A 26,450-nucleotide genomic window follows, 5' to 3' on the forward strand; every position below is an offset into this window, starting at 1 on the left:
CCAACAGGAAAAGGCAACAACTGTTTTCTATAGAAGTTTATTCCCAAAACAGAGCGCGGCTTCACGGAACAATTTACACAGACAGGAAAGAGGGCCGCTGGGCTGGAGGAGGGGAACCCCAGAGAGGGGCATCTACGAAACCTAGGACATAGTAAAGACACCCTCCCACCCCCAGCAGGCCACTCAGCCCTTCAAGAGCTGGGGTCCTTCTCGGTAAGGAGAGTTTGGGTCCTGGCTGGTGGGATTTAGCTCCAGTCAGGGAAGTAGAATTTCTAATCTCCCAGGAAGCTGCTTCCCAAGAGTATGCATGGGGTGGTGGGTGAGGAGGTGTCTGCACAGACCACCCCCCAGCCCTGCACAGCCACTCTCCCCCGTGGTTAGAGGACGCCTACTCTCAAGGTCTTCTGGATCTGCTGTTAAACGGGACTCAAGGCTGACCTTCGGCCTGGGAGACCTGGGGGTTAGAAAACCCCTCAAGATGGCCAGGTCAGGGTCCTCACAGGTGGGTCCTCCAAGTCCCTCTCCCACTTTCCCTACCTTTCACTTGGAAACAAAGGAAAAAAAATTATCTACTGTAAACAAAGTGTAAAACTCAAAGTTTTGAGTTGTAAACAAAGTAAAAACATTTTTTGAATCTGGACTTGTAAACAGTAACAAAATTTTAAAGTCTTCAGTTCTGGACAGCAGACAAAATAGCAAAAGTAAGAGTTTTGTGAACAGGGTCGTAACAGTCATTTTTCCCTTTTTAAGGGAATAAAGGAGGAGTGGAACGGAGTCACTTCCTGCAGCCCAGGTGCCTAGGGCCACGGAGGATCCTGTAAACATAGGAGGCAGTGGCACCTACATTCTGGGTCTTGAATTCCCTTGTTTCTGCTCCCTTTGCTCACCTTCCCACCCTACCCTTCGGAATCAATTCAAGCAGGGGGCAGTGTCAGGGAATCAAATGGCACCACAGACAACTTTTGCTTGCTGCAGGGGCAGGTGAATGACCCCTCCACCGACCCTCTGCAGGAATGTCTGACTAGAGGCCCGAGCCCCTCCCCGTGGGAGACAGGGAAGCCTTGCTCTGTAAACACGACATCAGCTGCTCCACCAGCACCCCACAGCATCAGTCCTAGGTCATAAGGCAGTAAGTGGCAGGGACTCCACATAATAAACACACACATCCACCAGGAGGGGCGGTATGAGCAAGCCCCCATGAGGAAGTCAGAGGACCCCTGTTTCCAAGACCAACCCCCAGCCCCAGAAGTTTGGCCTTTGGAGCATTCAATAAAAAGCAAAGAACAATTCTGTACTTTGGGCCCCTGACGATACTCAGATCAACTTGGGGGTGGAATAGGGGGAGGAAGGCATGTGTCCCACCCATCTGAGTCCACCCCAGGAAGGAGAGAGAGATGAGCATAGGGTTTGCTCAGGACCCAAATGGGGTCAAACTGCATCTCTCCCTCTATCTCCCTCCCCCTCCCAGCCCAGCCTCAAACCCCCCAGGAGACAGAAAAGCTGAAAAATAACATAAGCATCTCTCTGGTTACAAAGGTACAAAACGTATAAAAGTCTCCCTCCAGTCCCCCGTCTCTGCACCTGTCACACGCATGCTCACAGATGCACATGGAGCCTCAGCCCTGCCACACCAGGTAGAGCTGGGGCACCCACCACTGGGGAGCAGGAGGCTGCCTTGGGATCTGCCCCCACTCCTGGAGTCTCTCCTGTTAGCCTAGATCCTCTGTCGCCCTCAGCTGTTCCTCGTCCACGCCGTCATCCCCTCAGGAGTGACCCTCACTTCTGGGAACTCTGGAGGCACATGAGGAAATCAGAGGTTGATGCCCAGAGGACTCCGAGTCAGGCGGCTCTGGACTCCCCCACCACATTTGGCCTGGCTGCTTCCCTTGCCTCCACCACTGCTCTCGCCTCTTAGCCCCCAGCCCCTTCATGCCCACTCCAGGGTTCTCAGAGTCCTCCATTCCGCGCCCCTAGACTCAGCCAGGCTCCTTGGCTGCCCAGGTGTTTTCTCTAAGTGCTTCAAGAGCACCTACTGTTTACAGATGCTATATTGAGCACTTGACAGATATTATCTCATAGATTTCCACATCTCAAAGAGTTTGTTACTACAGACTTCTTTACAGATGAGGAAACTGAGGCCCAGAAAAGCTTGCCTCTGCCTAAGGTCACGCAGCTAGTAAGGTAAGACACAGAGCTCAAACTCAAACCTGTGCGACTCCAGAGCCTGGACCCCTGCTCAGTCCCTAGTCTACCTCCCAAACAGCCAGACCCCAAAGCTAGACTGCAGGGGGACCCAGGCCGTGGGTTAGCTCCCTCTGGTCCCCACCCCCAGCAGCCCTCAGTGCCCAAGCCCCAGGATCCCCAAACCCCTGCTCTTTCCTCCTTCCTTTGTCCTCTCTCTGCCCTGGGTCCTGCTCAGTTCTGTCGATCCCCTGCCCCACCCCTAGGGCCCCCTTCCTCCCCAAGCCATCTCTTACCCCACAAACCCCCAGAGCCTGACCCAGCTGTTTCTCCTCCTTGAAACTCAACTCTCCTCTTGGCTTACAAGAGACCTGGAAGCTCCTGGTTCCTCCCCACTCCCACCAGTCCCTCTCGGACTCCTGTGTATCCAGCTATTTCCTGGGTCTGTCCGCCATCCCCTTCCCCACAGATGCTTCACACATACCCGAGATGAACCAGGTTCCAACTCAGTTCCTGTGAGCCCCACCCCAAAGTGTCCACAGACAGGAGGAACTCAATGTTGACTGAATACATCGATGAATGAATGATTTATCCTCAACAAAGCAAGCCCTTCAGCCTGGTATATCCTGGCACCACTTCCAGCCTCTCCTTGTCCTATATGACCCCCTAGGCGAACCTTCCCAAGCAAGGCCTCCTGCTCTCCTCCCTGCCCCTTGCATATTCCAGGTCATCTCCCACTTCTAGGCCTCAGCTCCTGCCCTCCCATTCGCTAGCTCAGCCCATCGGATGGCACCTATTTCTCCTTAGCCTGGGAGGTGCTGGGAAGGCTGGCTGGCTCCAGTCACACAGCCAGCAAGTCCCTGCTAGTCACACCCCCATTTCTTGCCAGATTCCTGTCCCCAGCCTGTGGCCCTCTGGCTGTGCTGAGCCTGGGGTAGCCCACACCTGTCTGCCAGCCCTCATCCCCTTCTGTGGCAGAACACAGGGCAGGGCACACAGGAGGTTGCCCTAAGCTGATGAGGGTGCAAGCAGGTGGCTGGACCATACTTACTCTGAGTCTGGCGACAGCTCCGAGATGCTGTGAGACGTGGCAGAACGTGGCGTGGAGGGCCCAAGCACAGAGGCTGTGGCAGAAGGTGTGGCAGTGGTGTGAGGGCCCAAGGGTGTGCTTGAAGATTGCACAGAGGAGAGGGCCGAGGAGTTGAAAGAGGCAAGGATGGAGGAAAGAATGTCCAACTGTTCTGTGGAGGGGCCATGGCTGGGGCCACTGACCGAGTCCTCCCTAGCTCTGAGCAGCTGCGGGAGTGGCCCAAGGGCTTCTCGTGAGGGGTGCCGGCTAGGCACCTGGTCCAGCTGCTCCCGAGAGTTCGAGCTCCTAGACAGAGAGTCCAGCGGCCGGGATGGCAAGAGGGGGTCCCTTGAGAGTTGCCGCTGGGGAGACAGGGGCAGAGGTGGGGGCTGTGGGTCAAGGTCCCGGGTGCGGCGGGGCGGAGGCAGCGTGCTCAACCACTCTCGAGGTGCCCCTAAGTCGAGCGCATCCCGTGACCCGAAGCGGCCAGCCATGGCGCCAGGGTAGTCCCGAGGTGGCTGCCTCCGTGGCAGGGTGCTGCCCCGATCTTTGGGCTCCAGTCGGCCTGGTGCAGCATCCATGCATTCCTGGGACCCTGGCCGGCTCAGGGGACGTAGAACAGGGGCAGGGGCTTCCTCTAGTCGCTCACGGCTCAGTTGCCGCCGGAGGAGCAGGTCCAGCTGTTCTCTAGAAGAGTAGCGGCTGGCTGGCTGTGAAAGGCTGCCCGTGCCCCCGCCAGCATAGATGCGACCGTAAGAGGCAGCTGGCACAGCACGGTGGCCCAAGGTGGCTGCACGGCACCAGGACAGCTCAGGGGCACCTCGGGTCTGTGGCACCAGTGGGTATTGCAACCGGTTCTTCAGGATGCCTGTGAGAGGAAGAAAATGGGGGGCAGGGTTTGTGTGGGAGGGGGAGGGCAGGCAGGAATTGCTGAGTCTAGGGGTGTGGCAGCCCTTGGGATCCTTCCAACACAGGGATGGGAGCAGGAACCCCTTGGGGAGCAGCAGAGGCAACCCTGGTGGTCCCAGAGAGGCAGCAGGACAGGGGTCAGAGTGGAAGGGCAGTCATCTTCCAGTTGTGGTCCCGGGGCAGGGGGAGGGCGGGCAGGTCTCATGGTGCAGGGGATGGGGCAAACTCCCTGAGGTCAGAAGAGGGGCAGCCCTCAGGTCCTGACAATGCAGGCCTGGCTGAAATGCAGGAACCCCCCGGGTTGGACAGGAGCAGTCCCCAGGTCCCTGTGATGCAAGGGTGAGGGCAGAAACCTCTTCTCCGGGTCCCCATAAAAGCAGAGTAGGGGGCAGAAATCTTCCAGATCAGAGCACGGGCTCTGGGATCTGGGTGGGGGGCAGGGGGAAGCAGCTCCTAGGGTCTCTGAAAAACAGATGGGCTGGGGCAGGAGTGGTCGCCTGTGGTCCCCCTGTGGTGCTGGCCAGGGTAGAGGGGGACAGAGAATTCCCAGGTCAGGACAGGAGCAGTCCCTGAGGACCGTGAAGCAGGCTAGAGAAGCAGAAGCGCCCTAGGTCAGAGTAAGAAGAGCTCTCAGTTTGGGATGAGGAAGCTGCAATCCCTTGGCTCAGGGCATGAGCAGCCCCCAGCGTGTCTGCGGTGTGGGCCAGGGCTCAGGGACTGTACCTTTCCTCTGGCGCTGGGCCCGGCCCAGAGAAGTCTCATCCCCACTGGTCAGGGCCGGGTCTGGCTGGTTGTTGTTAGCTGCATCCTTGCTGGTGTCCAGCCCCAGGCGCCTTTCAGAGCCCCAAGTCTGCAGAGCACAGGGGGCTGCCTCGCACTCCCCCAGGGCTGGCCAGTAGGACAGGAGGTCATTGCCATCCACATCTGTGGAGCCAGGTCAGGTTACAGGAGCTTCTGGGTTGATCCCAGTGACTCATGACCCCTGACCCTAATGACCCTTGAAACCCTGGCTGTTCTCATTGAGCAGAGGTGGGAACAGGAGGGTATCTCCTCAGAGATCAATGGGTGGGGGTGACTGGTGAGCTCCCTCCCCTTAACTGGAGGTGGACAGAGACTAAAAGTTGGGGAACCTGATGACTGAGGGGTCAGAAAGACCAGGATGAACCCCAACCGCAGGAAAGATGGGGAGCTGGAGGGATAACAAATGGGGCATCCCTTGGTCACCCAAGGGGTCAGAGGGCGCCTGGCACCTTTGGGGTGGGTGAGGAGCCTCTCACTCTGGGCTGCTCGGCAGAGTGGCCGTTGGAAGCGCCCCCGCGTCCGGCCATTGTCCTCGCTTTCTGAAGATGGAATGGAGAGACTCCTCTCCTCCTCCAAGGACAGGTCACTGTCAGAGTCGGAGTCTGCGCCTGGAGTTGGGAAAGTCAGAAGTACTTTCAGAGGTAAGGGACTTGGAGATAAGGGAATTTGGAGTTGAGGGTCTAGAGGTGGGTACGGCAAGGGGGTTAGGGTTGGGGACAGGAACCGGGGCTTGAAGTGGAGGTAGCAGCAGAAGGGCTGGGACTTATCAGAGGGAAGGACGAATCAGGAGTGGACTGGGAGAACCAGGGCTGGAGAGGTAGGTGCCTCCTGAGGCAGGGACCCTGGGGGAGATCGTCCCACCCCAGTCAGCCACTGCTCCCAGTATGGGGTAGAAGAAAAGGGGATGGGGAGAGATCCTCTGCCTCCCTCCTCCCTGCCCCAGGCCCCAACTCCACCAGCATCTCGATGGAACATGGCCACGTCCAGGTCAGTGGGGCCAGCATGAGCCTGGAGGCTGTGGTCAGTGTGGTCAGCGGCTGAGCCATGTCGAACCAGGACATTGTCCCTGGAAAAGCAGGAGCCCCCCCACCATGAAAGAGGGATGTGATGGGGTGCCTTGGAGGCTGGAGTGTCTTTGAGTGCACAGCCAGCTGCGGGTGGAATGGCATCCCTGGGTGTGTGTGGTGGGAAGCATTTAGGGCAGAGGCAGAAGCAGGGCCCCAGATGGCCAAGATGGGTGGAGCCACCCGCCCTAGGACCTGGTCAGCCAAGCCCTGGTAAGGTGGGGCTGGACTAAGCTGAGTGTTCCCTCACAAGGAGGCTCTTCCTCTCACCTGAGGTAGCTGCGGCCCCGCTGGCTGTCCTGGTCCTGGGTCCGGCCGGAGCGGGCACTGCTCACAGAGGAGACGGTGGAGGCGCCCAGAGTGATGCGGATGAGGCCACTCTCCTCAAAGAGAGCCGTGTTGTTGTAGGCCCCAGGTCCCTGGGGGTGGTAGGGACAGAGTGTGAGCTAACCCTGAAGCAGCCTAAAACTCTGGCTTCTCAGGGCCCCCATCCCGACTCACCAGCCCAGGTGCTGGCCTTGCCTCCTCAGGCGCTGCCTTCCTGCCCAGACAGGCTGGCATCCAGGCAGCCCGAGCATCTGCATTTAGGACACAGAAGAGCAGCAGCACCGCCAGGCCCTGTGGGTCAGCGAGGGTCAAAGCAGAGTCGGCAGGGATCAATCAGGGACCAGTATAAGTCACTGTGGGTCAGCAATGGGGTCAGTCACTGTAGGCTAGTGTGGGTCAGTGAGGAGCCCATGCGGGACTCAGTAAGGGAGTTGGGGAAGGTCAGCAGGGGAGAGGATGGAGCAGCAGGAGTGGCTGGAGTCTGTAAGGTCGGTGTGGATCAGCAAGGGGTCGGGAGCCTTGGTGTTGGTGAAGGTCGATCCAAGATCAGCACTCAGTCTGGGATCAGTGCCTAAGTTAGAGTCAGCTCCAGGCCTGGGGGCAGCAGCTAGGGCCAGTGTCTGGTCTGGGGTAGTACCCAGCCTGGCAAAGTTATCCAGTAAGAGTCAGCTCCAGGCCTAGGGTCAACGTCTGCCTAGGGATGGCCCCAGCCTACTGAAGGCCCACCTGGTTCTGGGGCAAGGGAGGGGCACCAGAGTCACCTGGAGGCCGCAGAGTCCAGCATGGAGGTAGTGGAAGGCTAGGATGCTGTGGTTGACTGCCAGGAGCCCAAAGAGCCAGGAGGCACTGACCAGCAGAAGCAGCAGGAAGGAGCTGCGAAGGGTCCTGCTGTGGGGACATGGGAAGACACAGGAGGACATGCAAGGCTCATGTAGGACTCATGCAGGGAACACGGGAGGACACACAGGGGCCACACACGAAACGTGAAAAAAAGGAACTCACACGGGAACATGGAGGTCTCTGGAGGACACTGGGGGAGATGGGAGGTCCCACAAAGAAACAGGAGAGCAGTCAAAGAGCCATGAGGACACGTGGGGAAAACACAGGGGTATGGGAGCCACAAGGGAGGGCACGGAAGACAGGTGGGAACACACAGGGCAGGGGGCAAAGTGAGCCACCCAGGCCATGGGAGACTCTGGGGGGACCCAGAGGACAAGGAGAGACAGCAGGGCAGAAGCACATGTGGGGCTACAGTATAGCGAGGGCGCCAGAGAGGGACCACAGGTCAGGGCAGGTGTGACTTCATTCCTTCATCTAGAACTTGGAGCCCAACCTGCACCAGGGAAGATCTGGGGGCCCCAGACCCCACCCAGGAGGGACCTGCCATCCTGAGAAGCCCCCTTCCTCCAGCCAGCCAACTCACAGTGCAGAGGTCTTCTTGGCCTCCCTCTGCCCTGTGGAGCAGGATGTGCGGGCAGCGAGGAGAAACATGGTCCCGTTCATCTGGACCCACGGCCAGACATGTGGGGCCGGGCAGGGCAGAGAGAGAGAGAGAGAGAGAGGCAATGAGAGACAGAGAGAGACTAAGATTCACGGAGAGAGGCAGAACCAGTGAGAAATTCACACATATACACACACACCAAAGGAGCTTAGCATCACAGAAAAAGAAATTGGGAACCAGAGAGGGACTGAGAGAGAGAAGCAGAGACAGAGGCAGGGACAGGCAACTGAATCTCTGACCCCGCGCCCCCATCTCCATGCCAGTTGAATGGGGGTGGCTACTGACCAGAGGACAGAAAAAATGAAGGCCGAGCCCAGGAAGCCTGCAGAATGCCACCTGACCGCCCTCAGCTGAGTCCACTGCACCTCCTCCCCCAATGAGGGAGGGAAGTACAGAGGGGGCACCAAGTCCAGGGCACTCACCACTATGACCAGGACAACAGGGCCAGCAAAGCTCCAGATGAGGGGCTCGTGGACTGAGATCCAGCAGAAGTCAGGGTTCCCATAGCCCTCAGGGTCCAGGCCCACAGCAAGGCCTTGGGAAGAGAAAGGGTAGGACTGAGGGTGTGTGTTCCAGAGCTGCTGACCAGCCCATGTATGGGAGAAAGCATGGGTGAGGGCAGAGCAGCAACCCCATGAATAGATGGCTTGGGGTTTGAGGTTGGGGGTCATGAGCAGGAGTGGGGACAGGGTCAGGGGTCAGGCCATGTGATGGTTGGAGGTTGGGGGTCACAGCCCTCACCCAGCAGCACAGCAGGGACGCCCCAGCCCAGGGCATGGTAGAAGCGCATGGCGCCGCGGTCCACGTTGCGTGGCTCAACCTGCATGCGGTAGAGGTGCAGCCCCTGCACGAAGAGCCACGCGAAGGTGCTGAGGAAGAAGTAGTGCAGGAGGATGGCGACTGCAGTGCACACCAGCTGAGGGCAGGGGGGCGTGTCAGGACCTCTCCTGCCTCACCCACCTCTGACCCCTACCCCAGGCATCTGCTTCCCACCTCTCACCCCTAAACCACAATATCTTACCCCAGCATCCTGCTGAAAACCCTGGCCCCAACCTGAGCATCCCTGACCTCTGACCCTGAGTTTTGGCCCCAGGCCTCCTGGGCCAGTAGGGTCATCAGGACACAAGTTCCCTGGCCCTGATCCTGCACCTGATTGTGGGTCCTGTGAATCCCCAGCAGGAAGAGGAGCTCTGCCACCCCCAGGGCGGCTGCCACATTGGCATGGATCCCACGCACATTGGACTTGAGGCTGCGCAGGCTCAGCAGGATGGCTGCAGTCAGCACCAGCGCAGCCACAGACACAGCCACGACCACGTGGGTGAACACAGCCAGCAGCTCCAGGTCGCCCTCCAGCCTCTACAGAGACAGGGATGGTTGATGGGTTGTTGGGCAGAATCCCCGTGTCCCTTTGACCCCCCACTTCCTTGGGACACTGAACACAGCCCCACCTCACGGGGAGAGGCATCCATGAGGACCCCAAAGGTCCCTGTCCGGCTGCAGCGACACCGTGCGTGGGACCCATTCCTGTGCACCAGCTCGCAGTCCCGTGCTGTCCACACACCATGCTGCTCCGCCCTGCAGCCACAGGGCAGTTAGACACAACTGTGACCCAGTGTCAGGCAGGGGTTTGTGAGAGATCATGGGAAGGGCTGAGGGTGCCTGGAGTTGGGGTACAGCATTCCTCATGGTCCGGGTTGCACAACAGCACTAGTGGGGGCCCCAGGGGAAGGCTGGGACTATTAGTTGGCCTCCCAAGGGCTAACGGGACCAAGGGTTTCCAGAATGGGGGTCCTCACAGGCCAGGTGGGTCCCACTGCACACAGATCGCCTTGCTCCGATTCGCTGTCTGTAGCAGGCGAAACTCTAGGCTGATGGGGGACTCCAGGATTCCCCTTAGGAAGTTGCGTCCGTGGAACACAGCCACGCTGACCACCGGGGAGTTCATGACGGGGTTCTGAGGAAGCCTGGGGAGACACCCATCTGGGCTTACGCACTGCTGACCTCCCCATGCTCAGCCTGCTTGCCTCACCCCGTCTTCATGCCACTCGCCAGGGCTGACCCAGGGTCTGGGATGTCCCCAGAGTGGAAGCTGTTTCTAAGAATCCCTCCAGCTTCTGCTGGGCTGCTGAGGGGCTGAGCAGCTCCAGGGGACCTGCAACTGTTTGCCTCTGATTGCCCTCCCTCCTACCCCCATCAGTCAGCCTGTCCTTGTCTGTCTCTGTCAGCCCTTTGGTCTGTCTGTACCTGGCTCATGGATCCCTCCTGTGTGTGGCTCTGTGTCTGTCAGCCTGTGGCTCTGTCACTCTGCACAACTCCAGAGAATAAGATTCACACAGAACCCGGCAAGGATGGGGCTCCCTGGAGCTGTGCTCCTCTCTGTGTGTTGTGAACCTACGCATCTACCCACCAAAAAAGGGGCTGCCAGGCTGAGAAGTTCGTAGGAAGCTCAGGGGTGAGGGGCCTGAGTACCTGGCACCTCGGCGTTCTGCCTGGAACTGGGCAGGGAGCAGTCCCCCTAAGGTGCGGTAAACGAGGAGAATGATAATGGAGATCCCAGGCTCTGGCTCTGGCGGGGCTGGTGGGGGGACCACACTTGAGGTGGTGGAGTTTTCTATGCTGCTGCTTGTGGGCAGAACTGCCAGGAGAGAAGGAGGAGCTTCTGTCAGTGACCTTTGACCCAAAGCACCCACCAACCCAGCTCTGAACCCGATCAAGCATGGGGGTCTCTTCCCTGCAGGAGCAGAATTGGGGAGTGCAGGGAGCATGAACCCAGAAAGTAACAGTCAAGGCCTGGGAGGGGTCATTTGTGATGAGGGAGAGGCTCTGACAAAGTGAAGGTGTGGCAAGGTGGACAGTGGAGGGGAGATGTGGGAGGGAGGGTGGAGGGGAGATGTGGGAGGGTGGAGGGGAGATGTGGGAGGGTGGAGGGTGGAGGGGAGATGTGGGAGGGTGGAGGGTGGAGGGGAGATGTGGGAGGGTCGAGGGTGGAGGGTGGAGGGGAGATGTGGGAGGGAGGGTGGAGGGTGGAGGGGAGATGTGAGAGGCAGGGTGGTGGGTGGAGGGGAGATGTGGGAGGGTGGAGGGTGGAAGGGAGATGTGGGAGGGAGGGTGGAAGGGAGATGTGGGAGGGAGGGTGGAGGGGAGATGTGGGAGGGTGGAGGGTGGAGGGGAGATGTGGGAGGGTGGAGGGTGGAGGGGAGATGTGGGAGGGAGGGTGGAGGGGAGATGTGGGAGGGAGGGTGGAGGGGAGATGTGGGAGGGAGGGTGGAGGGGAGATGTGGGAGGGTGGAGGGTGGAGGGGAGATGTGGGAGGGAGGGTGGAGGGGAGATGTGGGAGGGAGGGTGGAGGGGAGATGTGGGAGGGTGGAGGGGAGATGTGGGAGGGAGGGTGGAGGGGAAATATGGGAGGGAGGGTGGAGGGGAGATGTGGGAGGGTCTGACACTGGGGAGGTCTAGAAAGGGGAAAATTGGCAGGAGGGCAACATAGTATCTGGTTGGGGGGACAGAGAGACAGGACTTGGCCCAGGGGTCCCCTAGGGGCTCTCACCTTCAGATGGGGATGGCCGTGGGGACTGGGAAGGCAGCAGCACATGGGTGTGAGGATCCCAGGCATCCTGGCCTCGAAAGAGGTTGCTATGGTAGCGAGGGTAGCGACGGGCCCCCCGGGGAGAACTGGGGTGCTCCATGCGGTCAATGCTGAGCACTACCCAGGAGAAAGAAAGGGGAGGCCCATCATGGACCTCTTCCCCCTGCCAAGGGTTCTACTCCCTCTTACTCGCATCCCGCACCTGAGTCCCACAATCTGTTTTCTGTGCTACCAGCTCGGAGCCTGTCCCTACAAAACGCTGAGGGCGGTGGCTGAGTCTCCTGCCATTAACATTGGCATTGATAGCCACAGCCCCTCAGACCTTCAGGTACCTGCCCTTTCATGGCCCCCCTGCTGTGCCCCGCCCTACCCCACCCACAACGCACTGATATTAGGCGTCACCAGCCCCATGGGATTCAGGTATGTGAGTTCCATATTCCTTGCGAGTGTGGCTGCATACTCCTCCAGGTGCCTCACCAGTCCCGCGCTGCCTGGGGAGCCCCCAGGGGCCCGCTGCCCCAGCGCCGCCCACAAGTCCCCTGTCTCTGGGGCAAGCAGTGCAGAGCCGGCCCACAGCAGATTCTGGGAAGACAGAGATAGAATTGGGTTCAGCCAGGTGGTGAGGATGTATGAGGGGATAGGGCAGGCATGAGAGGTCTGGACAGGTGCTCAGAGGGGCTCCAACAGGCAAGGGGGCGGGGCTGGAGAGGACAAGGACAGAGGGAGAGCCCAGGACCTTCACTTCCCAAGAGAACAGCAGGAGCCTGAGCTGGGGATCCAGGGGCAGGAGGCTGGGAGCTGGGGGGCCAAGGCACTGAGAACATAGGGCACAGCCCCACCTCATTGAAGTGGGCATCCTGTGTGGCTGTCAGCCCGAAGCCCTGCTGATGGCTCTCGAAGGCCAGCAGGTGGGCCAGCAGGCGGGCAGTGACTCGAACATCTTGGCTAAAATAGTGGTCAGTGTGGCCAGTCACCTCCCGTAGCCGCTGAGCCAGCTTCTTGGCCTCCATGGTATCCAGTGCCGTCTTGTTCAGCTCTAGGCCATCCAGCTGCCAAGACAAGGAGATGGTTGCTCTGTGGTCCCTTAGGCCTTCCTCTAAAGCTTCACAGGGAGAAAGCCTTGCCAGATTAAAGGGCAACCAGGAAAGGCTCAGGAGTTCAAGGGCTAGGGTGTGGTATCTGGGGCCCACCACAGGCCAAGGAAGGTCTTAGGTTGCAGGAAAAGGTCTGGGCAGTCTCACCAGCAGACTGAGCTCTCGAAAGGCAGGGGAGGTACAGTTGAAGAGGTCGGGCTCCAGCCAACCCTGGGCCTCATCACACAGCCGCACAGCAGCACCTGGAGGCAGGCAACCCCTGGTCAGGCCTGGGGCCTGGATACCTTTGCTGAGGAGATAACCGCAGCACCCTCTCCTATGCTGGGGGAATCCCTGAGGCAGAAGTCAGAGTCATGAGCATCTATAGCTGCACCCCTGGAGGTAGCGGCCCAAGCCCAGGTAGGCCCCAGCTGCTTGTCAGGCAATTCCTGAGAGGGCTGTAGACCATTCTCAACCAGCAACCACACAAAGCACAAGGGTGGGGCTGCACACACTCACCCACGTGGGCCAGGACTGGCTCATAGATGTGCTGGTTCACACAGACACACACCAATGCTCACCAATTACACACAGATGTATGGACCAGACCAGTACGCAGACACACAATGCTCTCTCGCACACACACAGACATGCCAACACAGAAGAGGGCTTCTAGGAACATCCAGTGAAAGTCAGGTGGGAGGATTCTCACACAAGTTTTAACTGCCCCAGTGGTTACTTTGCTGTCATTTCTCTCCCTTGTCTCTGGGGTTGGGATGGAGGTTGAATGAGAATTGACTTGGATCTTAAAAAAGTTTGTAGCTACCAACAAGAGAGAGCCTAACTTAATCACAGAATCCCCTCCCCGCAACAGGTTCACAGACACGTGCACAGGCACAGAGATACACACGTGAGCATGCGTACACAAACAATCTCTGTCCAGCCACTGCAGAGACCTCAAGCAGCAGGGAGTGTTCTGAGGGGACCTCAGGCAGTGGGGAGGGGCCCCCAAGCAGCAGGAAGGAGCTATAGGGTCCTCAGACTGAGGAGGGATCTTTCGTGACCTCAGGCAGTGGGGAAAGTTCTATGGGGACCCCAGGAACTGAGAAGGGGTCAGCAGGGTCCTCAGGCAATGGGGAGGGGTCTCTGAGGATCTCAGGCATCAGAGAAGGGCCCCTGGGGTACTCAGATAGCCAGAAGGGGCCTGCAGGGACTTTAGGCAGCAGGGAGGGGTCTGCAGGGACCTCAGGCAGCAGGAGGGGTCTGCAAAAGCTCTGGTAGTGGGAGGGGGCAGTGCACCTGAGCAAACACGTACCCCTTACCTGCACCCCGCAATCCTGCCCAGAAGCCAAGAGAAACAGATGGAGGCTCAATGAGGGTGTAGGGAGGGGCCCACATGGACTCCCACCCCACTTCCACCTCTTTGCAGGAACAAAGCCACCCAATTTAGGAAAAGACATGGCTCTAGCAGTCAGAGTACAGGCCCACCCCCACCCTCAGTGATGTCCTTTCCCCCCACATACTCACCCAGGGCCCCCCGGGGACAGGGCACTGTGGCCAGGACGCCAAACTTTGTCTGGGGCCACCACACACCAGATCTCAGGGACTTAGGGCAGGCATCATAGAGCACTAGAGAGAGAAGAGGTGCTGAGCCAGGCAGTCAGGGTACAGGGCAGTTGACAGCCACACCCACTGCCCCTCCACCACCCCCCACAAGGCCCACTGCCCGCCACTCCTGCTGGCTTCTCAGGAGCTGACCTGTCAGATTCTGTGACAGGTCAGCAAAGTACTTGGGGCAAAGGTAGGGTTCCCTGGGTGTAAGTGGTCTCCCTCAGGAGAAGCTTCCAGAGTCCCCAAGGAGCCATGTGTGCCACTGACACGTGATGGTGGCACACTGGAACCAGCCCTCTATGGGTGGAGCTGGGTGGAGCCTGCTCACCCCGGCAGCCGCTGGCTGTCACCTCTGCGAAGGGACTGTCACAGCTGTTGCACTGGCGGCCAAGGGCTCCTGGGCGACAGGGGCACTGCCCGCTGTGGGGTGCACATGAGCGCGAGGTGGAGCCCACAGGGTAGCAGTCACATGGGAGGCAAGAGTCACTGCCCCGCGGTCGGTAGTGGAACTCCTGTTTGAGGATGGGCCAGGGGCCTGAAGTCAGAGGTCAGGGCTTGGGGAATGAGTGGAATCAAGGATAAAGGGTCAAGAGAACAGTGCTCATGGGCCAGAGGACACCTGGGTCATGCGTGAAGCCAAGGGAGGGGTCACGGGTAAAGGATGAGAGACAGCAACTTGGTCACAGGACACAGGCAAGAGGTTAGGGCCCAAGTCAGGTGGCGGAGGTCAGCAAGCTGGACAGGAATTGCAGATTGCGTCCAAGGAAGGGTTAAAAGGTCAGGGGCCAGGCGCACCTTGCAGTGACACTGCCCATTTGTCTTGTTGCAGTTGGGATCAAAACCTTTGTGAACATCACAGTTGCAGGGGCCACAGGTTGGGCTCCCCCACCAGCCCCGTGGGCACTGCTGGTCCATCCTGGGGGTGCAGAGCCAGGTAAGATGCCTCCACGGTATCCCAGTGACCCTCCCTGTCCCTGCCAGGTCTCCCCATCGCCTCAGCCCCAGCCTCTTACCTGTGCTCACAGTGGTGCCCGAAATAGCCACCCACACAGTCACAGGTATAGCCATGGGGGGCTCCTGGCAGGTGCCGGCATGATCCCTGGTTCTGACAGGGGTTCAGGAGGCAGGCATCCACACAGCCTGGGCCGTAGTAACCTGCAGATTGGGTCAGAAAGCTCAGGATCCTGGTCGCAGAGCATGGAAGGAAGCAGGCACCCGTCCCGAGTCCCTGCCTCCTTCAGGTTCCCCAGTCTTCATCATGGGCCCCTAACGCCTGCCCAGGTCACCCTTCCCCCAACCCTCTCAAGGCTCACCTGGCTGGCAGGTGCAAGAAAAGGTCTGCCAGAGGTCCCGGCAGTCTGCGTGAGGTGGGCAGGGCCCAGAGGCACAGGCGTTGGTCACAACACAGCCAGGCTCCGCATTCACTCGGTGGCTGGGGGGTAGCAGGGCCGGGGAGCCAGAGGGTGTGGAGCCGAGCCACACCCCCTGTGGACACACAGCCAGCAAGGGGTGAGACCATGTTAAGGCACCTCAGCCTCAAGTACTGCAGAGCCAGCCACCCGGTCTGATGATCCTTGACATGCAGTCTTCTGATACCCTCAAAAAACCCAGGCCTCAAAAATATCCCCAATTTGGTACCCCTGTGGGACCCTAATTGTGCTGTTTCTGACACAGATTCCTAAAGGCCCTTGATAATCCAAGCTAGACTCCCACCTCCAATGCCACAGAAAGGCTTGACCTAGCTCTCAACTCTGGGTCATTCACCCCCTCGCACCAACCCCCACTTGAATACTGCCTTTCAGGTCCCAAGGAGCCCCTGACTTCTGACCCCTGACCCTAATGCCCCATATCACATTCCCATGCTGACCCCCACCTGGATGCAGCCAACCAGACCCTGAGGAGCCTCCTCTGCACTGCCGGGGGGCAGGCCTCCCACGTGGAGCTGCTTTACCTTCAGGCCCTGCAGCTCACTCCCCACCGCCATGGTGTCCTGGAGGAAGTGGGGCAGTCAGCACTGAGGGAGAGGGGCCTGATGAACCCCTGTCATAGCCCAGAGTCAGTCTTGGCCTTCTTCTAGCCCTTCTAGGCTGCCCCCTCCCTCCTGGACCCACAGTAGACCTTAATATTGCTTGATTTTGACCGGGGGTGGGTAGAGACTGGGGCAGAGACTAGAAGGGGCTTCTAGGAATCAGGCAAAGTGCTGGCTACAGAGGTTCCCCAAGACCAGGCCCCAAATCTGGCACAAAGAGGGCTTGAGAGTGGACCAACTTGGCTGGTGGGTGGGCTCAGTGCAAGGATATATGGTGGGGAACTAGGGGTAGAACATCAGACTCAGTGCAGTGGAGGGAACTGAGAGGAGCTGGACTAGAGGTGGGGTCAAATAAGGCGGATCTGGTTGGAAGGCTGAGAACAGACTACCCCGGGGTCAGAGGCCAGACCTGGAAGAGGCTAAAGTCCAGTGAGACCATAAGGACATGGTGGCCCCGCCGGCCACCTGGTTCCTCCTGCAACTCCAGCCGCAGATCGTGCCACCGGCCATCACTGACAGTCACCTGGTCCAGAAGGAGATGGGAAGCACGGCCCGAGCCCCTGGTCACTGTCACAGACAGTAACCCCCGATCTAGCTGTGGGCAGAGATGCATAGCCCTGGGGTTAGAGCCCCATGTGGGCTGGGACTTGGAGGTGAGATCAGAGGGCTCAGAGGTCAGGAATATCAGAGGTCAGAACAGTGGGGTCAAGGTTATACCTGGCACAAAGGGCACTGTGCCAGGGGACATCATGTTGCTGATATGGGGTCAGGGGGCAGAGGATAGGACCAGGTGTTGTGGGTGGGTTGGTGCAGCTTGCATAAGAGAGAGCTATGCTGGAGCCCTGCACCTGCAGAGGATATAATGATGGAAAGAGAATCAAGGGCTAGGGTCCAGAGCAGGGTCAAGTGTGGTTGGGACACCTGGCAGAAAAGTATGCTGTGTGACCAACCTGAACCCACAAGAATGTCAGTGGCGGCCTAAGAGACTGAGAACTGAGGGTATAGGGGTGAGCAGGGTGGACACACCTGGCAAAGGAGCGTGCTGTGTGGCCCAGCCTGCACTTGCATCAGGACCCCCTGCGTTGCCCGTGTCCGAAATGCCAGCCCCAGGTACCATGGCACAGACACAGCCATGTCACTTCCAAAGTTCCAGCTCAGTGTGCCGTTGCCACGGAAATGGTGGGGATGGGCCATAGCTGAGTGGATAAGAGAAACAGGGTTACAGCCCCTGCCCCAGGAACAGATCTGACCCTGCAGGCCCCTCTGCCCCATGCTGCCCACTTACTAAGCTGACAGTCTTTGCCGCCGAAGCCCACAGGGCAGTCGCAGCTGAAGCTGCCCCAGCGCTCCGAGCAGAAGCCACTGTTCTTGCAGGGGCCTGAGTCACAAAAGTGTAGCTTGGCTTGGCAGCCTGGGAGAGGAAAGCACATGGCGGACATGAGAACAAGGGTTGGGGGGCACAAGTGCTGGACAGGACTTTAGTGTCCAGAGGGGCTGAAAGAGACCAAGATCTCAGCCCCATTTCCCATTTTCTTTCGATGAGTGGGGTTGGTAAGAGTCAGGCCCTAAAATCTGGGCTGTAGCATGGTGCTTGCCACCAAAGGAGACTGGCTTGAAGTCAGGTATGGAGTCCTCCACTTCCTCCCTATGATGGGGACAGGGCCATGGGCTAGGCTGGTGGAAGCTTCAGGCCTACCTGCCATGGTGCCATTATTTGCGACAAAAGCCGCCATGTCCACTCGGCGGCCATCAATGTGCAGGTCCCGCATACAGCCGATGAAGTCCTTATGGGATACGGGGAAGTTCTCGGGGAGGTTGGGGACACCTCCCAGAAGAAGAGGGCCCGTCAGGTCCAGGGACCTGGGGATCAGGGGTCTGGGTCATTGGTGGGACTGGGGCCAGAGTAGAGTTGCTCCTGGGGGGCCACAGGAAGCAGGGGGGTAGGACCCAGAGGGTAGGGTGATTGAGGGAGGAAAATAAGGCCGAGCTGTGGAAGGAGTTAGGATCTTACTTCAGTTGGGGTGCAAAGGGGCACCCGTGATGGGCCGATGGTCTGGGGAAAGGTAGGTGAATGGGGGTTGAGAGCTATGATGAAAGAATGAGGCATCTGGCTGGCTGGGGAGGGGATGGAGACGTGAAGACTCTGGGGGACTGGACATGAGATGAAGGGACTCGGAGGGGATGTGGGACATTAGTGAGACTGGGGTGGGGAGGTGGAGGCTTTGGAGGACTGCCTGGGGACTGTGTGTGGGAGGAGGGAGTATGGGGTGGAATACAGGATTGGGGGCTAGGGTGAGTAGGCTTTCAGGGTCTTTGAGAGGAGAGGGGAATCTTGGTGGTTTGGGGGAAAGATGGGAGAGTTTGGCAGGATGGGATGAGGAATGGGATGTGAAGGGTTGGAGTGGGCTTTGGTAGGCAGGGGACAAGGGGACTAGGGGGCAGGGGCCTCACTTCTTGGAGCTTGTTTGCACACCAGCAGCCGCGCATGAGTAGTTGCCAATCTCAGCACCAAACTGCAGAGCCACGGCCACATCACAATCATCCACGCTTAGCACAGCCACCTTGTCCTTGGAGGGGCCCTGTGCACCCCCTAGGGCATCTGTCCGGGGCTGAAGACGCAGGCACACCAGTCAACAGTGCCCCCAGTAACCCCTGAGGAGCAGAAGTCAGCATCCCAACTCCCCTCATACCCGATGCCAGGGATGGCCCCCACCTTGTTGTAGTATCTCAGATGCACTGTATGCCATTGCCCGTCACTCAAGCCCCCTGGAACTGTGGGGCTGACCACGGTGTTGGATTCACCTGGAGGGGAGATGCATGTGGAATCATCAGGAGCAGCGGAGTCGCCCCATCCCACCCGTCATATAAGCACAACCATTCCCAGGGCCACCCTGGATGCATCAGATCAGTCCCCCCACTGGTGACCACAATGGCTGGCTCAGAGTGCCTTTGAACAGACAGGAGAAACAGACTTCTTGGAGGGAGGGACCTTCCCACAGGGAATGGCCAAGGAGCTAGGTCTTCAGGGCTTGCATGGCGTGGAGTGTGTGCTCAGGTGCACAGTGAAGCAAACCTGAGGGGACTTGGGCCCTGCGTCCTCCAGCACACACGCACCCTTTCGCCGTCACATCCGGGGCACCCACCCGTGGAATATGTGAGCCGCACTTGGCCAGCCACGAGTTCCAGGGCCAGGAAGTCGTGCTTCTCGTTCAGGCGCCCGTTGTAGAAGAGCAGCCCGCTCTGCTGCACTGTCGCGAACCTGGGCGGGGTGGGAGGGGGTTGCGGGGGTGGGAGCGTCAGGAGCAGGGTACCACTTCACACCCACCATCCCTGCGAGGAGAAGGGGCTGGGGCGAGAGAGGAAGCGACGAGGGACGGCGGGACCGACCGGGGGGACGCGGGTGCAGCGAGGTCAGGAGACCCCGGGCGGGGCGTCAGGGGAGGGGCGGTGTCTCATGGGGATGCCAGGACGGGGCAGTCAGGAATCTGAGTCAGGGCGGGTAGGTGGGGGCGGCGGGGAGGCGCTCAGACACGGGGCGGGCACCTACGAGAGGGACAGCGTAAGGTGGAATCGCTGCCGCAGGCCGCGAAACATGACGAACGAACTGGGCGGGAAGGAGCGCGCAGCCACCTCGCAGCGCGGGCCCTCGAAGGCGCCGCCTGCCGGGCACTGGCAGCGAAAGCCGCCGTTGGGCGCGTCGGTGCAGGTGCCCCCGTTGCGGCAGACGCCCGGCACGCAGCGGCCGGCCTCGGTGTCCAGCTCGCAGTCCTCTCCTGGGGGCCAAGCCGCGGTCAGAGGCGGTCACGCCCACGCCCGCCCCTGCTCCGGCCCCTTCAAAGACCGCGCGCCCAGAGGCCGGGTGCCAAGACCCCCGAAAGGTCGCCCTCTTCGGTGGACACGCCCCTTCCGTCTGGCCCCGCCCCCTCCCCAGTCTCATCGCTGCCTCGGCGGCGGCCCCTTCCGGCCACGCTCTACGGCTTCTGGCCTAAGCGCGTCCATACCAGGCCGTGGCCTCAGAAGTGACTCCCAGTACTCACTCGCATTGTGGTCCCGCCCCCAGCCTTGGCCCGTGCTTCCCCCAGCTCTGGCCCGGCGCCCTGCTCACCGGTGAAGCGCGGGCGGCAGACGCACGTGTAGCCTCCCTCGCGCCGCGCGCAGGCTCCGCCGTTGCGACATGGGTTGGAGTAGCAGAGGTCGAGCTCGGTCTCGCAAAAGTCTCCCGTGAATCCGGGCGGGCAGCGGCAGCGCAGGCCAGCGATGGGCTGGATGGGTCGGAACAGCGTGGAGGCCGAGGCCAGGAAGGGCGCGGACGAGTCAAAGCGGAGCACGGACACGCATTTCATGTAGTTCTCACAGGGCTCTCGCAGGCACACGTTGTCGTCGAAGGGCAGTACGTCGAGCAGGGAGCGAGCCGCCAGCGCCGCCCGGCGCACGTACAACTGCTCCTGCAGCTCCTCGGAGCTGAACCAGGGCCCTGCAGCGCCCGCCCCGGCCCCACGTGGAGCTAGCGCCGAGAAACTCACATTGAGCACGGTGCCCCCTACGTCTGTGTCGTTCTGGATGTTGAAGATGAAGACGTCCTCAGCGGGCGTAGCGAGCACCGCAGCCACGCCCTCGAGGAAGCGGCCCAGCAGCGGTGACAGGAAGCGCTCCTGCCACATGTTCTCAAGGCGCACGGTCAGGCTGTTGGCCAGCAACTCCTCCGTGATGATGACCACGCGCAGCACACACTGCGCCGTCACGCTGTGCAGGCCATCTGCAGGCGGGGGCAGGGGCAGTGGTCATCCTGGGGACAGTGGCCACCCCTCCCTGGGACACAAGAGGGCTGGGGCCAGCGATAGCCTAGGCCCCCAGAACCTCTAAGTCAGCAGGCTGACCCCACCAGGACACAAGGGAGTCTGGGGCTAGTGACCACCAGCTCCCCCAGCATCAAGGTGTCAAAAAGCTGCTGCTTCCTCCCCCAATCCCCAATACACGGAGGGGTCTGGGCCAAGGATCAAGCAACCCCACACAGTGCCCATGGGTTAGCAAGTCACTCCCGCAACAGCACTCAAGTACCCTAAGTACTCAGTAACCCACACTTCCCCAAGTTATCATGGTCAGCAGGCCACCCCAACTCAGGACACAGAGAGGAGCTAGGGCCACTGGCCACTCATTCCCAGCCACCTTTCCCTTCTCCCCTCCTCCAGCATAGCAGAACCAGCAAAACATCCCCCTCCAGAAAAGAAGGGTTCCAGATCAGGGATCACCTATCTCCTATTTTTGGTCAGCAAATTGCTCTTCCATGACACTAGAAGGGGCCCTGGCCCAGTGAAGACTCAATGCCATCCTCCAGAATCCTGGGTTATCAAGCTCCAGGGGGGTCTTGAACCCTGACATACACACACACACACACACACCAGCATTCTTGAGTTAGCAGCCTGCTCGCCACTCCAGACCTGGGTCCTGTGGTTTCACAGTGACCACCCCAGAGATGAAGGTGAGGTGCTTAGCTGCCTTGTTCGTCTTGTCCCCACACCCTAGCACATACTGGGTGGTCAATAAGGATAGACTGTTGAGTGAGTTGAGGGATAAATGAAGGTTGTGCCTTCTCAGGCAGTGCCAGGAGTCCCTGCTCCAGAACTGAGGAATGAGCACCAGTGAAGCCTATTTCCCAACCTCTGCAGCCTCCAGTAGGCAGAACTTCAAGAGCCTCTCCCACCTGCACTCTCCTATTATGGAGGGGTTTCTGAAAGACTGGAGCAGATGGGGCAGGAAAGAGGCAAGTGGACCTCTGGACATTTTCCCAAAGGTCAGGGTCTCAGGCCCTACGAAGCCACTGTCCACCTGAAGCTTCCATAGTAAGCTGCTGTTCCTGACCACTCAAGTATTGGTCATTTCCTGCACAGATAGGGTAAGCGTCAGACTGGACCCAAAGTAACCCTTCGTCTGAACATGGGCATAGTGTGGACTGACTGGCCCATACTGGCTTTGCCTAGGACCTCCAGAGGATTACCCCAGGACCTCTGACCTTTTATCAGGAGGGGAGATATCCCTAGGTAGCAGACAGTTCTTTACAGGCTTTATGGGGTCTGCTAGATGCCTTGGAATCACTGGGATTCTGTGGAGATTATCCAGGAACCTAAGCAGAGTCCTTGTGAGGTCTGTGGCAGATCTTGTAGGGTGCAGGAACCCTACCCTTAAGGGGTTCTTGGAAGGCTTAGAAATCCCTCTTTGGTTTGAGGTGCCCTGTGGAGTCCCTGAGGCCCAACAGGTTGGTGTCACTGGGTCACTTGCCTGCCCCCTGCCCCTCACCTGTGACAGTCACCAACATGGAGGCCACCAGTGGGCGGTTATTGTCTAGCTTTCGGCTGAGTCGCAGCTCCCCACTGGTCTGGTTGACTACCAGCAGCTGCAGCTCATTGCCACGCTCAAAGGAGTAGAAGAGGTGGTCGGAGACATCGGGGTCATAAGCTGGGATGCGCCCAATAATGCCCGACGGGAAGGTGTCTGAACGGTTGGATACATAGTTGTTGAAGAGGATCTGGAAGTTGTTGAGCACAGGGCTGTTGTCATTCTGGTCAACCAGGCGGACGTGCACAGTGGCCCGGCTGACCAAAGGAGCAGATGTGGCCTGCACCACAATCACATATTCTTGGCGAGCCTCATAGTCTAGGTCAATGAGTGCCGTCAGTTCTCCAGAGAAGATGTCCATTTGGAACAGCTCAGGGATGTTCCCCTCCACGATCTGGTACATTATATGGGCATTGGGGCCTTCGTCAGGGTCCACTGCAGTGATCTGGGCCACCACTGAGCCCACAATGCTATTCTCTTTCACCCGCACCTCAAACTCCTCAGCTGGGAAGACAGGTGCATTGTCGTTCACATCCTGCACCATCACCTGGATACTGACTGGAGTCCGGAGTGGGGGCACACCTCTGTCCACTGCGTAGGCAGTCAACTCATACACTGATACTGCCTCCCGGTCTAGCCGCCTTACTGTACGGACAATTCCAGAGGTGGGCTCAATGGTAAAATCTCCATCCCCATCTTCACCATTCTGGAAAGTGTACTGGACCCGGCCATTGGCATGAGCATCCCGGTCAGTGGCTGAGATCTGCAGGACACTGGTGAAAGGTGGGGCATCCTCAGAGACCAGCCCTGTATAGTGGGAGGCCACAAATTGTGGAGCATTGTCATTCACGTCATTGACCATCACCTCCACATAAGTAGTGTCTGCCTTCTGTGGGATGCCATTGTCCCGAGCTGTGATAGCCAGGGTGTAGGTCACCTGGTCCTCATAGTCTAATGGGGCCTGTAATGTAATGGCTCCTGAGTCTGCATCAATGCGGAACTGGGGCAGGTTGTCCTCCAGGAGATAGGTGATACGAGCATTCTCACCCACGTCATCATCAGAGGCACTGATGACCACTATGGTGCTACCCATTGGCCGATCTTCATTCACACTCACTGAGTAGTGGGCACTTTGAAAGACCGGCCGATGAGTGTTGGCATCTGTGATGTTGATGTGCACATAGCAGTGATCATGAAGGGCACGGTCAGATGCAGTTAGTACCAGCTTGAAGTAGCGTTCCTGCTTGTAGTCCAGTGGCAGAGCCAGAGTCACCAGACCCACACCCCCCTGGGTGCTGATGGCAAAGCGATTCCGGGTGTTGCCGCCTGTGATCTGGTAGCTGATGGCACTGTTGGCATCACGGTCTACTGCGGTCACGCTGACCACACTGGTGCCCACAGCTGCATCCTCATTCAGTCGTAGGTGGTACTCCTTCATTGTGAACTCAGGCCGATTGTCATTAACGTCCAGCACAGTCACGGTGACACTGGCTGAGGCAGAGAGTGGGGGTGAGCCATGGTCTCGAGCCTCCACACCAAAGAAGTAATGCTCCACAGACTCACGGTCCAGGGGACCACTCACAGAGACCCAGCCAGTGGCGCTGTTTATCACAAAAGGAGTATCAGGTGCCACACCAGTTAGGGAGTACTCCAATCTGGCATTCTCCCCATGGTCTGCATCGACTGCCTGAATGTGGATGACTGAGTGACCCAAGGGAGCATTTTCCAAGACAGAAACTTGGAAGGGCGTGCTGACAAAAATAGGAATGTGGTCATTGATGTCCACCACCTGGATGCTGGCCAGGCCCGTGTTGTTGGACAGCGGTGGCCGGCCAGCATCCTGCGCCCTGATGCGCAAGGCATACTCTCTCTCTGCCTCGAAGTCCAGAGGTGCCACCACCTGGATCTCGCCAGTGAGGCTGTCGATGGCAAAGTGTCCACGGCTATTGCCACTGATGATGTTGTAGTGCACCAATCCGTTGGCGTCCTTGTCCCGGTCAGTGGCCGTGACGCGCAGCACGACTGTGTGGGGGCGCACATCCTCGCGCACCTGCGCCACGTAGCGCTTCTCGCTGAACTGAGGAGCATTGTCGTTCTCGTCTAGCACAGTTATGTGTACGCGCACAGTGGCCGAGCGCGGCCCGGGTTCCTGGCCCTGGTCGCTGGCTTCCACCACCAGCTCATAGCTTTCCATGTGCTCGCGGTCCACTCGGCCGCTGGTGCTGATGAGGCCGGAGCGTGGATCAATCTCGAAGGCGGCGGCAGCTGCAGCGCGCGCAGCTGGCGGCCCCACGAAGCGGTAGCGCAGGTTGGCGTTGGGGGGCGCGTCGCCGTCAGTGGCACGCAGCTGCAGGATAGGGTAGCCCTCCTCCACATTCTCGCGAAGGGTCTCCCGGTACTGCGCTTGCTCAAAAACCGGCGAGTGGTCGTTGCGGTCGGCTACTGTCACGGCCACCATCGTGGTGGCCGAGAGGCGCGGCGACCCGTGGTCCTGCGCGGTCACACGCAGGTAGTGACGCTCCATGCTCTCGCGGTCCAGAGCTGCCGCCGTACGGATAAGGCCGCTCTGCGGGTCGATGCTGAACAGCTCCAGCGAGCGGCTGTTCATGAGTGCCGCCAGCGAGTAGACTAGGCGCCCGGCCTCGCCGGCGTCCGGGTCCTGAGCAACCACGCGTAGCACCGCGGTGCCTGCTGCCTCATTCTCCGGCACCAGCGTCTGGTAGTTGTACTGCGGAAACTGCGGGTGGCGGTTTGCGGCGCGACGAAAGCGTGCCCGGTTCGCCGAGGTTACTTTCCTGGCTTCAGGACGGGCCGGGAGTCCCGGGGGACGCGGCCCGGGGCGCTGCGGGAGGAAGCGGCAGCGGAAGAGACCCCGGGAGCGCATGCGCTTGGGCGCCGGCTCGGGAGCTGTCCGAGACTCGCGGGGTGCTGAACCTGATGCAGGAGCTGTCCTCGCCGTGCGTGGTGCTGAATCCAGCTCGGGGCCAGATCCCGAGGCCCCTGGAAGACAGTTCCGCCGGGGGGCTGTCCTTTCTGCTCCGGATGTCGTGGCTCTCTCGCCCTGACCCTTGCTCCCTGTTGCCCATAATTCCCCACAGCAGCGCGCGGTGCCCACTCTTTTGCGGGAGCCTGTCCCAGCGTTCCGCTGGGAGGACACCGGCTTGGGACCGTGGTGCCGAATCAAAAAGTCTGAAGGGAGGGGCGAGCTGTTCCCCGAGCCCGGGACCCCTGAGGACAGAGCCCCTGGTGACAGACTACCTCTTTGCAAAGGTCCTGTCCGCCCGCAAGAGGAGACCTCTGGGCGCCAGTATAACACAGACCCTGGTCCCTGTCCTGTCTCTCGTTCGCGGCTGCCCAATGGCTGGACGCCGTGTTCAATCCCCAGCTCCTCATTCGGCTGCTCAGGGGGCCCTCGACTATTCCGGGCGCTTTGCCTTCTCCCTCGGAGCCCCACGAAGATAGGCTCCCTGACCCCCAGGCCAGGCCCCCCATCCTCCCGGACCCCGGAAGACTCCGGACAAAGAGCTAAGGCTCCGCCACCGATATGCGCCCTTGGCCCCGTAGTGGCAGCTAAGCCTGGGTCCCAGCCCTGGTGCCCACCGCCCCCCAGCTCCTCCTGGCTGAGGGGGAACAAAGAGAGGAGAAGGAGCAGGAGTATGGGGGTCGACCGTCCCCCGAGGCCCCGCCACGGCGGCCGCCTCGCCATCATCCCCCGCCTCCCTGCACGGCCTCCACCGCCCCCCGCCCCGGTCCGGGCCTTGGGCTGGCCCCGCCGCTCGGGCCCCCTCCCGGGCCCCTGCCGCCGCCCCGGGCCCCCGCCCCTCCGCCTGTCTCTCCGCACCCCCGCCGCCCTCTGGGCACCATCTACTCCGCGGCCGGAGCCCCTCCGGCGTGCGGCCCTGGCTTTTTCCGCCCCCACCACAGCATCCCCGACGCTGCTGCCGCCTCCCGCCGCTCCAACATGGC

At 59.9% G+C, this 26,450-nt stretch overlaps 1 protein-coding gene and 1 non-coding gene across 2 annotated transcripts, besides 5 other annotated features; both read right to left on the reverse strand.

Moving 5' to 3' along the window:
- On the reverse strand, positions 22–26,445 carry CELSR3 (cadherin EGF LAG seven-pass G-type receptor 3). Its single transcript, NM_001407.3, has 35 exons — positions 22,446–26,445; positions 20,257–20,907; positions 19,699–19,924; positions 19,295–19,410; positions 18,865–18,953; positions 18,603–18,760; positions 17,848–18,011; positions 17,437–17,562; positions 17,178–17,347; positions 16,561–16,746; positions 15,996–16,112; positions 15,436–15,607; positions 15,136–15,277; positions 14,918–15,038; positions 14,451–14,634; positions 14,039–14,140; positions 12,680–12,774; positions 12,278–12,487; positions 11,825–12,020; positions 11,400–11,555; positions 10,322–10,487; positions 9,649–9,816; positions 9,301–9,427; positions 9,002–9,208; positions 8,594–8,768; positions 8,275–8,387; positions 7,775–7,854; positions 7,113–7,236; positions 6,526–6,642; positions 6,295–6,443; positions 5,917–6,026; positions 5,410–5,568; positions 4,883–5,083; positions 3,233–4,118; positions 22–1,791 (listed from the first exon to the last, which is right to left on the reverse strand). Exons 1-35 carry the CDS (start codon positions 26,191–26,193, stop codon positions 1,764–1,766), a joined length of 9,939 nt encoding a protein of 3,312 aa, NP_001398.2. The 5' UTR covers positions 26,194–26,445; the 3' UTR covers positions 22–1,763.
- MIR4793 (microRNA 4793) lies at positions 7,753–7,839 on the reverse strand. The gene has a single exon (NR_039956.1). It is a non-coding gene; the product is annotated as a microRNA 4793 (primary transcript).
- Positions 19,773–20,470: an enhancer, noted in NCBI's record as "H3K27ac-H3K4me1 hESC enhancer chr3:48693647-48694344 (GRCh37/hg19 assembly coordinates)". NCBI's record gives its function as "activates a minimal SCP1, AML or CMV promoter by ChIP-STARR-seq in naive and primed H9 embryonic stem cells {active_cell/tissue: H9 hESC(naive and primed)}" and the evidence as "EXISTENCE:reporter gene assay evidence [ECO:0000049][PMID:30033119]".
- Positions 19,858–20,087: a silencer, noted in NCBI's record as "silent region_14337". NCBI's record gives its function as "represses an Ori minimal core promoter by ATAC-STARR-seq in GM12878 lymphoblastoid cells {active_cell/tissue: GM12878}" and the evidence as "EXISTENCE:reporter gene assay evidence [ECO:0000049][PMID:35858748]".
- Positions 20,471–21,166: an enhancer, noted in NCBI's record as "H3K27ac-H3K4me1 hESC enhancer chr3:48694345-48695040 (GRCh37/hg19 assembly coordinates)". NCBI's record gives its function as "activates a minimal SCP1, AML or CMV promoter by ChIP-STARR-seq in naive H9 embryonic stem cells {active_cell/tissue: H9 hESC(naive)}" and the evidence as "EXISTENCE:reporter gene assay evidence [ECO:0000049][PMID:30033119]".
- Positions 24,168–24,754: an enhancer, noted in NCBI's record as "H3K27ac-H3K4me1 hESC enhancer chr3:48698042-48698628 (GRCh37/hg19 assembly coordinates)". NCBI's record gives its function as "activates a minimal SCP1, AML or CMV promoter by ChIP-STARR-seq in naive H9 embryonic stem cells {active_cell/tissue: H9 hESC(naive)}" and the evidence as "EXISTENCE:reporter gene assay evidence [ECO:0000049][PMID:30033119]".
- Positions 24,755–25,339: an enhancer, noted in NCBI's record as "H3K27ac-H3K4me1 hESC enhancer chr3:48698629-48699213 (GRCh37/hg19 assembly coordinates)". NCBI's record gives its function as "activates a minimal SCP1, AML or CMV promoter by ChIP-STARR-seq in primed H9 embryonic stem cells {active_cell/tissue: H9 hESC(primed)}" and the evidence as "EXISTENCE:reporter gene assay evidence [ECO:0000049][PMID:30033119]".

Source organism: Homo sapiens, chromosome 3 (genome assembly GCF_000001405.40).
Source record: "Homo sapiens chromosome 3, GRCh38.p14 Primary Assembly".
NCBI lineage: Eukaryota > Metazoa > Chordata > Mammalia > Primates > Hominidae > Homo > Homo sapiens.